The sequence below is a fragment of the Homo sapiens genome, chromosome 3, assembly GCF_000001405.40.
Source record: "Homo sapiens chromosome 3, GRCh38.p14 Primary Assembly".
Classification (NCBI taxonomy): Eukaryota; Metazoa; Chordata; class Mammalia; order Primates; family Hominidae; genus Homo; species Homo sapiens.
Genome location: NC_000003.12, coordinates 78036312 through 78049983, shown reverse-complemented (window position 1 = coordinate 78049983; position 13672 = coordinate 78036312). Strand labels below are relative to the sequence as shown.

General features: G+C 35.7%; 1 long non-coding RNA gene across 1 annotated transcript; it reads left to right on the top strand.

Annotated features, from left to right (window-relative positions):
- The first annotated feature begins 1020 nt into the window (after window positions 1-1020).
- On the top strand, window positions 1021-11279 carry LINC02077 (long intergenic non-protein coding RNA 2077). Its single transcript, NR_146636.1, has 4 exons — window positions 1021-1214; window positions 3189-3291; window positions 7742-7842; window positions 11074-11279. It is a non-coding gene; the product is annotated as a long intergenic non-protein coding RNA 2077 (long non-coding RNA).
- The last annotated feature ends 2393 nt before the right edge of the window (window positions 11280-13672 follow it).

The window sequence follows — 13672 nt, the reverse complement described above, 5'->3', positions numbered from 1 at the left end:
ACTATATAAAGGAACAGGACCAGGGCGATAATAGTTGGGCTTCAAGAGTGGTATCAGTGGCACTTTGCAGAGGAAAGTATATGAAAGTTCTTGGCAGAGATTCCTAGTTGCCTGCTCCATTTCCCTCTTCTTCTCTTAGGGAATCCCAAATTTTAGCTGTGCACATGACCTAATGGAACAAAGCCTCTATTTATAAGCTTCCCTTGTAGTTAGGTGTGGCAATATGATAAAGTGCTGCCTAAAAGTGCTATGCACAACATCTGGAATGTATCTGAGATGGAGGGAGACACACCTCGCTCTGCACTCTGTAACTGTCAGTCTTTCTGATAGCTTGAACGTTACAGCTGCCTATTGAAGAGTCATGCTGGAACATGAAGCAAAACACTAGGGATGGATCTCCAACGATAATAAAGTAACGGTTCCAATAAGGACTGTGTCCCTCTCCCTACATTTCATTTTCATGAAAAAACAATAAGACTGTGTCTTAGTCGATATTGTTACAGATTCAGTCACATTCAATTGAACCTAATCCTAACCAATACAGAAACTACGTCTTATTCTTATATGTAGTGTTGACTACATTATAATTATTGCTAAGTTTTTGGTGTTGTCTTACATGCCATCACATTGACAGTACTGATTAAGGCCCGCAGAAGCCTAAAATTTATGCTATACTATCACCATGTCTGCTATTTGAGGTTTTGATTGTTCTACATACAATCCAAAATTGAATACACTTTATAACTTTTGGTTAAATGGTTTGAGCTATTCACATTCAATTTGAGTTTTCTATTATGTAAAACAGAAATAGTCTATTTCATAATATTTTGAGGAAAATCACACGAGATAATAGAAGAACATATCTTGTGCAATTGCCTGAAATAAGAAATAGCTATTATTATTATTATTATTGTGTTAGTAATGTCTGTGGTGATTCATAGCTGTTTTTCAATAATAATTTCTTTCTGAATTGATCACATGGCGGTTGTAAACGTTGGGGAAACATACAGTTTCAAAGGAGAAATGATGACTGCAGTCAGGAAGGCATGTCTGTTCTCTTTCACTTTCACTTCTCATCCTTTTGCAGGTAAATAATGCTCCGGCTACAAGTCCAGGCACCTAATAGAGGGGTGCATGCTCATGAGTAGCTCAGAGGACCTCATGCTCATGGCCACAGAGATTGGTCCAGAAAAAGGCACATGCACATAAACCAGGTAGTGCAATCAAAATACTAATCAGGAATTTTTTGCAGGGGGCTGAGCAGGGATAGAGAAAATTCTTGTAATTATGTGCAAATAATCAGCCTCTGGGAGCCGCTATCTACCTTATATGGGAAAAGTCTATCAACAACAAAAGAAAATGAAACTTTGTGCAGAAAAAATATCCATGATGTGGGCATCTATGAGACAGACAGAAAGAGAGATGGGGACACACACACACACACACTCTTGGTATTTATTAAGTCGATGATACCAGATATTTCTTTTATACCAATTCACTGTGTACCAATTTTATGAGCCAAAATTTTTGTATTTTGCTCGAATTCCTTGCATTGAGTTTCTAGCTCTTGCAATTAAATGAGTCCTGGTTATGTCAATGAGGAATTAGATCAGATGAGCAGAGCTACTGGGAAATAAATGTTAGGTGAATCTCATTATTTGCAGAGAAAAATGGGTTAGAAATATCGTCATTACATTTTGTATGTGTGCATCTGTGTGTAAGGGCAGATCATACAAATGGTATAAACACATCTAGTAAAAACAATGTTTCTTTTTCTAAATTTAAACTTTAGATTTTACCATATTTTTCTGATGTTCATTTATTCAACTACCTGAAACAAAAACATGTAAGCCATGAATTTAAATTCCAATCAATCAACTTATCCAAAAGCCTGATTTGTGTTATAAACAGCAGCCTGTAAGGTTATTAAGGGCTAGTTACATACCATGCAAATATTGAGAACGTGCTCATATTTTCCTGCAAGCCTCATGCAGCAAGTAGACAGCTTGGCTTTGAAGATCAAAGTCAGTCTTATCTTTTGATTCTAATCTTTTATATTCCTCATAAAGCATAATCTTTAAAATTAAGAAATCATTTTAATTTTGAAACTTTTACAATACTTTCAAAATGGTTTCATAGAAATCAAAATAAGCCCTTTCTTACTGAATGGGGTATTAGTGAAGGAAGGCTTACATAGCTATTGTGAAAACAGTCTGTTTTAGATAAGAAGGGAGCAAATATTAACCTCAAAGATTTCATGTAGGAATTGTATGAATCAAAATCCAAGTATACAAATATATGTCAATTTTTAAATGTAGCTAACCCTTTTTTAAGGGGAAAGAATCTTGCATGCATATGGTGCTCCTCTTTCAGTGACGTGTGTGTGTGCATGTGTGTATGTATATACATATATACATGTGCATATATTTATATGTAATTACAAGATATGTATATATTTCATATGTATACACGTGCCATGTAGGTGTGCTGCACCCATTAACTCGTCATTTAGCATTAGGTATATCTCCTAATGCAATACCTCCCCCCTCCCCCCACCCCACAACATGTACCCTAAAACTTAAAGTATAATAATAATAAAATTAAAAAAAGATATGTATATATTTCTTTTAATACACTGATTTATAGTTCTGTAAAACAAGTAAAAATATTTCCTTATTACCCTAAAATAAGTAAATTATCACTTTAACACTCAAACCTGGATGGACCACTGATGTTTTATACTCATAAAATGATTCAGTCTGGCCTAGACAGTTAACCAGTCTAGATACACACAGTCATATTAGCCATGAAAAATCCAAATGTCCATTAAGATTGTTACTGGGTAACCATTTTTCCCAGTTGTCTCATACTGAGACTCAACTATAAAATCTTACAGTTCTTTCTCATCCATTTCTTCTTTCCTTTCTCCTCTTTTCTCAATTTCTTTTTCGCTCTCCATTTTCTACCTCATACTCGATTCTCTTATTTACTGTATTTTTGTTTTTGCCTTCTTCACCCCTTCTTTCGTTTTTGTAAAACTGAGTGTACTAACTTCTAACCGCTTGAGCTTCCTCTCGAAGTCTTTTGTGATAGCTGCAAGCTGATTATGGTGCTGAGCTTTCTTTATGACTTTCTGATGTGCTCAGAGTTCTCTTCCCATTTTTTTCACTCCGCATCCCCATTCCTAGGGATTTACTTTCAGCTCTGTTCCAGAACAGATGCTCTTTTCCACTCCCCACGGAGATCAAGAGCTTGGAGCAGAAATAATAGCTCTCCTCACAAAAAGACAAGGTAAACTATAATAAACTAGGCAAGCCATTTAGCAAAATTCTGAATGTTTTCTGTGCTTTAATTGCTATGTAAAAAGCAAATGGTTTCTGCCTTGAATAAGGCTATAAATGCACGGAAGTGTATATAAGCCAGGGTTTGAAATGCAAAACACCAGTCATTGCAACACGTGTTTGATATAAATATCAGTACTAAACAGTACATTTTTGGAAGTTCTTAATTGTTTTTCCCTCATTGTGAGGGTTAACAGTTTAATCTTTAGTAAGAGATACAGATAAGCAGGTGGAATTTGAATGTGTAGTGGATTCAAAAGGGAATCCAATTCCTATGCTAAATTCAAACATCATTAAAATGGAAACTTGTCACTGTGCAGTACAAAGGCAAATACCACCTCATGGTTTAAAGAAATCAGTGTTTGTATGTACTGCATGTTTGAGCATTCCAAGCTTCTGAAAGATATAAAAAATTGAGCATGTGGGGGTTCTATAAAGGGAGATGTGTGATATCTCTCCTTCAAGAAAATTAAAAATGACAGTATTGATTTAGAAGGTTGTGTTTTATGTCATCTCTCTTCTGTTATATATTAAAGAAAATATAAGTATTTTCCTTAACTAGATTTTTAAAAATTGGTTTAAGTACCATATTTTGAGGAGACATTTCCCCAAACATAAAAATGAGAGGATTTATGCAAGACAATGACATTCTCATCTCAAATAGCAAATCTTAATAAGGCTCACAAAGTCTCAGAGGGAGTCAGGGGAAAAATTAGTGAAAAAAGTACAAGTTTGACAGATGGAATTCGGGTGACATAGGTAGAAGGTGACAAGATGAATGCAGACATTACACCAGAATGGAACAAAGCCAGAAGCAAAATATGAAGATGAAACATTAAGTAACTTGAGACAGAAGCAACAAATATATAATATTGCAAATTGTTTCATATAATCGTTAGTTTCCTGAAATATTCTCCAAACAATGTCTTATGGTCAAATATGTTGGGGAACGTTGTATTTTTGTCTCTTTATTTCAGGTTCATCTAGTAAAATCTTATAAATTTTGAGGATTTTGGGAAAGTTTAACTTAGTTTAACTTAGTGTTCTTAGTAATCTTTGCATTTTATAGAGAAAACCACTCAAATTCATTAAAACAAAAAAAGACACATTTTAAAAACTACAAGGGTTGTAACATAAGGGTCGAATGTACAGTCAGGCCTTACAAAGATTTCTATTAGATATTTCAGTATCCCACTTCCAGTTTTTAGGAATGACAGTCTGACAGGTCTAGGTTGAAAGAAGTTTCCATTTCTTGTTTAGCTACAGCTGAATTTACATTTTCTGATGCTGAAACTTATTTCATAAACTCAAATATATCGGGATAGTATTTCCACATATTTTCATTACATTCCTACTGCTCTGTTTTAATATGTTTGTCTTTAAAAAAATTCCTTTACTCCATATCCACCTCTGACTATTGCTGCATTGTTTTGCAACTGTTACAATAAAATTTCTTAAATGAAATTTTTATCCTTATTATCCCATGTTATAATGCATTTTTTTACCTCTTTTGAATCTGGCTCCTCTCTTCAAAACTCCACTGAAGCATCTAGGTCAGCAACAATCTTCATGTCATGCTTCATCATAAACAACGTCTTAGTACTGTTGGATAGAGTTGATCAATGCCCCCTGGTCAAAAACAAACAACAACAACAACATTTTCATCATTTGCCTTCTCATAATATCATCATGGTCTTCTCTTTCCATCTATGTTTGTTTCTTCTTCAATGGCTCTTTGTTTAATATCCTGTCTTTAAATGCTGAAATGGGCCCATGTCTCTTTTCACTAAATGATTCTATGGTCTCATCCATTCCCACCACTTTAAATCTATTTGTTGATGACTGGCAAACCTCTCTGTCTCACTTACCTCTACTTAGAGCTGTAGATGTCATATTACTTGACATCTCCAATAAATATCTATTCAACATTTCACATTTAGAATGTTCACAAAGGAGCTCATGATTTTACCACTTTATCTTTATATCAGCAAATGGTAGTAGCATCCACACAGCAGCTCAAGCCGAAAACCTAGGAGTCATCTTGAATTCTTCTTTCCCATTCACAGAATGTATTGCCGTCTTTTGTTTCCAATTCTCCCTTCCTCCACTCAAGAGAATGCATGAATAATTTCTTGATCTGACCCTCGTTAGTCTCAGAGTAATCACCCTGCTTTTCTCTTTTAGTTCTAGTTGAACGGTACTAGAGAGAAGTTGGTCCCTTTGCTGCTGTGACTTATTACAGTCTGCAATAATGGTCAACGCATTTGGATATTGTCATATTTAGCCAACAAATCTCATAGAATATGATCTGGGCTCTACTAGACTCTTGGTAATAGATTAACTGCCCTTTTAATATTTTGCTAGCTCACACAAACTACCAGTTTCCCCTTTTGGAGCAGATGCTTATTTCTGGGTTATAGAAATTACCTGAGATTCATTTATATTCAAAATGCAATGACGCTCCTCCTTCCAGTTGTCCCTGAAGTGTCTGTCGTTTCCATTTTTTCAGCCACATTCCACTTGCTCTTGACATACTGCTCTTTTTCCTTCTCTAATCTGTGGTATATTCTTTCTACTCCTTTTTCTTTTTACTCTTAAGTCAATTTCTGATCTTGAATTTTGCTCCTTTTGGTTTGCATAAAGTTGTTTTTATGTGATGAAGTATAAGCCCTAGAAACAATACATTTTTACAGAGGGGTCATAAATATAGAGACAGGTTAATTAAAATTAATAGTTGCAGCTCTATGAGTAAACGGACAACTCATAGCAATCCATTTAAGAAGTTATCCCATTTTAAGGCTGTCAATGCCTAAGCAAGAAGTATTCATACATATCCATAGACCTGAGAATATGTACATTGCTTCAATCTCAAATATAGCAGGCAGGTGCTAGGGTGAGAAAAGGAAAGTAGAAGTGTCTAAGCCAGCAGGCCTGTAGGAGCTGGGGAAACGTTCTCAAACAGAGGAAGTGTGTGCATCCCAACCTTATGAGAGCTATAAGCCCTCGAATTCTGTGACTTTTTACAAGAAGGTATTTGTAAGCAGACTGAAATGAAATGGACACATATGATATTATTCAGAAAAATAACTGCTTTTTAAAAGTTGTCTAAGTGTATCAAGTGATAATGGTGGCTCAGAAATTCCCAAAATAATAACTGGAAAGACAAGTCAGGCAAGACACAAGGAAAAAATTTCTGCTCACTGCAGTTTATATGTCATGTGGCTGCACTCTATGGAGCTGACAGAAATCATGTGCTCAGTGGAAATTTATAGATTATACCTCATTGCTCCAAAAAGTCCCAGGAGAAAATACTTGACACTAGGCAGTGACATTTCAACTAAAACCTTGATTGTGTTTAGATACAGGTGAATTTGTAAGGACTTTCAGAAAAGAAATGATCACTGATTGAGATGCTAAAATACTGTAAATAATTGGTAGGATAGCTATCTCGGTTTTCTTCAAAATTTTTTGCTAAATCTTTATAAGTCTTAATAGTATTAGGTCAGTGCAAAAGTAACTGCTGTTTTTGCCTTTGAAAGTAATGGCAAAATATTTATTACTAATCTCACAACCAATGGCCCTTTCATAAACATTGACTAATGAAATACCAAAATGATTTTATGTCAGTTCTTTCAGATGGGTTTTTATGTATTTATCAAATTGGTTTTGAGACTGCTCCTGAGAAATGCTATAGGTACTCCCAAACAATCACAATTTTCCTGGCCTGATATCCATTAAATCTTCAAAACCATCACAGCCACATATAGGCTTTATTTTCAGTTTGTTCTTATAGAATACCTGTGAAGATCTTGATGAAATGGATTTTACAGTTATTTCCTAAATGAGTGAGAAGGGGAAAAAATAAAAACTTAGATTTTAAATTTGCATTTTTGTTTAAGAAAATTGCAAACCTCTCGCATTATGCAATTGAAAGCAATATAAAAAATTCATGAGTAATAGAACTGAGATTTTTGTCATGGTTGAAAACATTTTTTGAAGTCCATATCAGCATGTTTCAAGTGAAATGGATAAATGAGACAGTTATACATTATTACTTTAAAAATAAAAAAAAATCACTTACTCCAACTTTTGAGACTTTTTAAAAACCTAACTTGTTCTAAATATTTTTAGGTGTCTGTACTTTATTCATCAATGACCTAAACTAAAACTATTACAGAGCTGCAGAGAATTTTCTGGTGGGTATTGGGCTATGGTGTGGGGTTGAGGGAGGCAGTTTCTTAACCTAGAAACTGGTACCACTTTTCATTTCACCTTCATTTCTACACGGGTTTTATATACCATTTGTATTTGCCCAGTTGGTCTTAAAGAGCACAGGTGTATAATATGGGCTTTTGCTATCTCTACTAAGCAATATATTTTTATTTTCATATTTATTCAAGAGTGGAGAGAACCACACAATGTCTTTAACTTTTGGGGGAAGAATCAAGAGCTCTAAGACAAATCACTTTATGCACCTATCTCTACAGTCTTTGCATACATGGTAAGTATGAATAAATTTCACCTTAGATAATTAGCTGAGAAAAGGATGCAGAGAGCACCAGCAGGATGACCTCATTTAAAACAAGTAATACTTGGACGCTCTTTTGTCCTTATGGGATTACTAGATTGTTGAATCAATATTACCTTGTGGGAGTGAGCTTATCGCCATATCATCTCTAAAATGAATGGTAAGAGGCACTGCTCCATAGAGCTACACGTTATTGAAATAATGAGATTTTGTTTTAAATTCAAACTGTTTTTCTCATTTGTTATTAGCAGAAGGAATTCTGAGATAATTAAAATGATTGCTATAAAAATACAGTAAAAAGAAAAAAGGTAACTAAGAATTTTGCCATTGTAGACTCATAAGAAATGTAGTTGCTGTTTTGTACCTTAGGTATGCAGATTTGAAGATGTTCCAAGTCCTATTCCTGACCATAGTTTTACAAAACTGTGGTGTTGGGAGAGAGCCAAACATTTTTGGTGTGGCTAAACCTCCTCTATTGATGATGGAAAATTAGTATCCAAGTGCATTCCCAGTTAGACAACTGTACGGTTTAGGGCTGCTTTGTTTGACATGATCTTCTTCTACCTCATAAGGCTATACAGAGGATCTACAAACTATTGAGAATGAAAATACTGAGTAGGATCATGGATCATAAAGGAAATAAATGGCATGTTGCCAAATCATGGGCAATTATTAGTGAATACTTACAGAGTTGTCTCAGGCCCTTCTGCCTGCAGAACAAACTTTTGTGTCATATCATGTCTTTTAACTAGGGGAAGAAAATTTACAACTCAATTTCCAAAAGTAGTTCCGCTTCATGAATTCTTATTCATTGTCCACATCCTGTCAATATTATGCTAGTCGTTTAATGTTGCCAAAATCTTGTTCTATGTTAAATGATTTGTCTTTCCTGGTGATGTTGACACCTTTAAATACTTGTAGACAATCATTATCCTGCACATTGTTTGGTGCTTAGCTCTACTTTACATATTTAATAGCTTTAATTTTTTTTTTCCCTTTGGAGACAGAGTCTCGCTCTGTCACCCAGGCTGGAGTGCAGTGCCGTGATCTTGGCTCAGTGCAACCTCTGCCTCTCAGGTTCAAGCGATTCTCGTGCCTCAGCCTCCGGAGTAGCTGGGACTACAGGTGCATGCCATCATGCCCAGCTAATTTTTTGTATTTTTAATAGAGATGGGGGTTCCAACTTGTTGGCCAGGCTGGTCTTGAACTCCTGGCCTCAAGTGATCTGCCTGCCTCAGCCTCCCAAAGTGCTAGGATTACAGGCATGAGCCACTGAGCCCAGCCAGCTATAATATTATTTATAAGTGAATCAGTCTTATATTTTTATTTCAGTGAGAAAGGTGCTTAAATATGACCTATCAGTTCAAGAAGTTATGGAAACTAAATGCTACCCAAACATAAGCCAAGGGAAATAAGTTAGAATTTGCAAAAAATGGGGTCATTCGATTGGCTTCAGAGGTGGTTAAAATATATGTAACAGATATATTCCTTGCTCATATTTGGTTTCAACAACCAATGTCTTCACATCTCAGGCAGATTTAGGGGTAGGGAATATGTGATATCAGACAATTTATTTTTTTGGCTTACATTTTATTCAGTTCAGTCATTTATATATGTTGTAATATAAACATATTCTCTCTAATAAGAACGGGGCTTAGTGAGTACTCAAAAATTTTAGACTTGTATCACAAAAACAGGCAAATAAACAAAAACATCTGTTCTTAGAAAAGGGTAAATAAATATGATAAAATCTTGTCTAACTATCTCAGAGAGAAAACTTGGGTATAAAAATCTATAGCAAGCTTACACTTTGCATAAATAAAAAAAGATTTTGAAGTTTCATTCTCAACTTTTTTTTCTATAAAAGGCAAGGTAAATGTATCATGTGAAATAAAATAAGACTGTCAGTTATAGGAAGTAATGAAAAATATGTAATTAAATGAATTAGTTATAATTGTTTGGAATACTTTCTTTATTTTAAATTCCACCAAAAACTCTATGTCTATTGTAAAATGACTAATAAAAATAATAGTGCTACTTCTCTAACTTTAGAAGGCTATTGAAATAATTTCTAAAATATAAGTGAGCTTTTTATGAGAAAAGTGTATTAAATAAGACCGTGTTGCCTGGCGTGGTGGCTTACACCTGTAATCCCAGCACTTTGGGAGGCCGAGGTGGGCAGATCACAAGGTCAGGAGATCGAGACCATCCTGGCTAACACGGTGAAACCCCGTCTCTACTAAAAATACAAAAAATTAGCCGGGTGTGGTGTCGGGTGCCTGTAGTCCCAGCTACTCGGGAGGCTGAGGCAGGAGAATGGCATGAACCCGGGAGGCGGAGCTTGCAGTGAGCCCAGATTGCGCCACTGCACTCCAGCCTGGGTGACAGAGTGAGACTCTGTCTCAAAACAAAACAAAACAAAAAAACACCATGTTTACATCTCACAAGATTAACGAGGTTTTTTTTGTTTTTTTTTTTTTTTGGTTTTTTTTACTATAGTATGTTTCTAGTACTACTGTTTTTTGCTTGCTTGCTTGTTTGTTTCTTGAGACAAGATCATGCTCTGTTTCCCAGGCTGGAGTGCAGTGGCACCATCATGACTTACTGCAGCTCCAACCTCCTGGACTCAAGCCGTCCTCCCACCTCAGCCTCCTAAGTAGCTGGGTTTACAGGCATATGCCACCATGCCCAGCTAATTTTTAATTTTTTTCTAGAGATGGGGTCTCACTACATTGCTCAGACTGGTCTTGAATTCCTGTACTCAAGTGATCCTCCTGCCTTGGCCTCTCAAAGTGCTGGAATTACAGGCATGAGCCTCTCTGCCCAGCTGGTACTATTGTTGATAAACTTCTTTATTTTGAAAGCATCCAAATATTTCCTTTTAACAAAAGAATTTATATAATGTTTTCCTCCATTTTTCTAACATTTTATGTAAGTTTCTCAAACATTTAATTCAAAGTATTGAATTAAAAAAATGCAATTATGCTTCTCTTCTGTGTTAGAACTAGGTAACAGGAAAAAATGAAAAAACAAGACAAATAGTTTATACTGCTTCTACCGAAGTTAAAGATAAGAGAAATTCGTATTTTAGAAAGATAGATTTTCTTTAGAAGGATAATGTAAAAAATACCTGTTTCTTTTCTTTCTATATCATACCAGAAGACTAATTATTGACATAATTTTCCTTATCTCTCTCTCTCGTAGGCCTACTTTTATTACCCCTTCTCTTTTTGAGGTAACCAGGTATCCAGGTTAATCACGCTACCCTTGGTTATCATCACATGTATTTCTGAAATTGTCTTTTACATATATCTTTTTACTTGTTAATGTAAGACATAAGAACAGCCTTTATCTTGTTGATTATGGTAATTAGCACATAGTAATTTCTCAATAAAAATATGTTGGAAAGTAAATGTTTAAGTACTGTTTTATGTGTAATTGACTCAGAACGGTAATTAATTCAAAAGTTTATATCATAGATTGCTGTAATTTGTTTTTTTCTTTATTTTCTCTTTTCTTGGGAAGGAAAAAAAATTCTTACCTAAAAGGTGGCATCTTTTCTGGTAATATTTTAGTCAATGTGGCACCTGAGAGGAGAGAATTTAGGCAAATAGATTTCCATAAAATTTCTCAAATCCAACAATGTAGACCTCCTGTGCCTAACTTATTAGTGTCTCGGGGTTAAATATTTAAAATGGCCATTTCTGCTACATTTTCAAGTCTATTCTGGAGTTCCACGGTTTTCAGATAAAGAGAAGAGAGAAGATAGCAAAGAATGGGTACTCTTGAAATCACCATAAAAAACTGTAGGCCTATCCAGCTTTGGGATTGTGGGAACTGGACATATTTAACAGTTCGTACCACTGATCTGGTCTAGTACCAACTGTTTGAGAAACTTTTAGAACATGTCTGCAATTTACCATTGTAGCTCTGTTCTCCTATTCTTTCAAAGGTTTAGGTTAGTGATACTTCACTAGTGTAACACATTCTAGATTATTTTTGTTTCTGTCATAAGTCTAATGCCGCAAATTGCTATGCATCTCATTTTCATTCTCAGTTTGTACAACTAAATTGAGTAGTTGAGAACTTCCTTGCATCTCTTAAGAAAATTCTTTACTTCCCATTGTGCTCAGAATAAAATCAAAGTTCATTTTCATCACCTGTAAAGCCACAGCTACTTCTCCATTAAATGAATGAAAACAAACAAATACAAAGTCTTTTGACTATGAAGTCTATATGTTTAAAATCTTCTTTTCCAATCCTGGTAATTGATTATATGGAGTCAAATAAGCCATAGCAATTAAGCTCCAGAATTCACTGGGGAAAGAAAAAGGGAACTGACTTTTACTGAACATCTACCATACTCAATTAGTGTCAGGAACGTTTGCGTACACATCAACCTTGTGAGGCAGGTGTTATCATTCTCATTTTCCGGTTAGGCTAATTGGGAATCATAGTGGTTGACTGATTTTTCAAGTTAACTAGGTGAGAAGTAAAAGAGCATGAATTCAATCCTAGATAGGTTTGAAGAGCCAAAATTTATGAAATTGAAATGTATTATCTTACAGGTATAGCCAGTGTTTATAATACAAAGTGTTTGATACTTTTTCAAGAAGCTTATGATACAGTGGAGAAAGTAACTCCTATGTAAATATCTCTGGCCTACAGAACAAAGGTTGCAACTGCCATGAACAAAGAGAGGGAAAGTTGCTAAATCCTGAAGAAGCTGGGGTGGGGGTGGGAGTCAGATGTTAGCTAGGGAAAGGTTCCTGGAGGAAGCACTAGTCTAGTTAGGTCTTAAAGGATGAGTAGTACTAGAATATTCAGAGGTGGGAGAGAATGGATTTCTAGTCTGGCATAGTAAAGCCTGGCATATAGAGGGTGCCATGAAAGAGAATAGTTATTAAAGAGGAACTTCATCCATGGGTAAAGATAAACTAATTCCAAATTAGGAAGTTTCTTTGAAGATGGCATTAAGTAGGGATTACTCCTGAAAGAGGGGTCATCACTAGGAGAACTCTACCCATATACATGGTAGAGTTGCAGAAATGAGACTCTTTCTGGCAAAGTACAAAAGTACACCTGAAATGAGTTGACTCAGATTTGCATATGGAAATAGGCAGCTTTGGTACAATTGAAATCATTAAAAGGATTCCTTTCTCAGCTGTGGGTATTTTCATCTCCATGTCCAACTGTTGGGGGAAGGAAGTGTCTTACTGCTTTCATTAGTCCGTTCTGGGGCACCCTAAGAAGGGAAGAGTGCAAATAGGCAGGGATAGAGGTGGCGCGTTTCACAATTCTCCCGTAATGCTCAAATCCTACCACATTATTCACCCTAGGAAAGAAGCACCTGAGATTTCCTCATATAAACCATGAGAGCAACTGCCCTTTGATGCCTCTATGGCTTCCAAGATCACATCATTCTGTTGCTGTGACAAAGGCTGGTGAGAAAAGAAAATTTGGGTATCTGAATGCTGGTTTTCATGTGTCTTATGTATTAACCACCTCCTTCAAGTTGTATACCCTGCCTTTCTTACTGGTTTGCTCCCTGTGGTTTTGAGAAACCTCTGTCTATTCTTCTTCTGATGCTACTGTGAATGTGTAGCATTTTGATTTGCTGATCACATTCTTCCTCGTCACAGTGGCCAGTATTTGGTTGTCTCTATGATTCTGGTTTTGCTCTGCCTGCACTGAGAGGTACAGATGAGTGCCATAAATGAGGTTCTTTTCCTCCCTTCAGAACTTTTTGATTTGGAACAATAAAGACTCTAATCTTCGGGTGACATCTTTAGATATAGTGTCT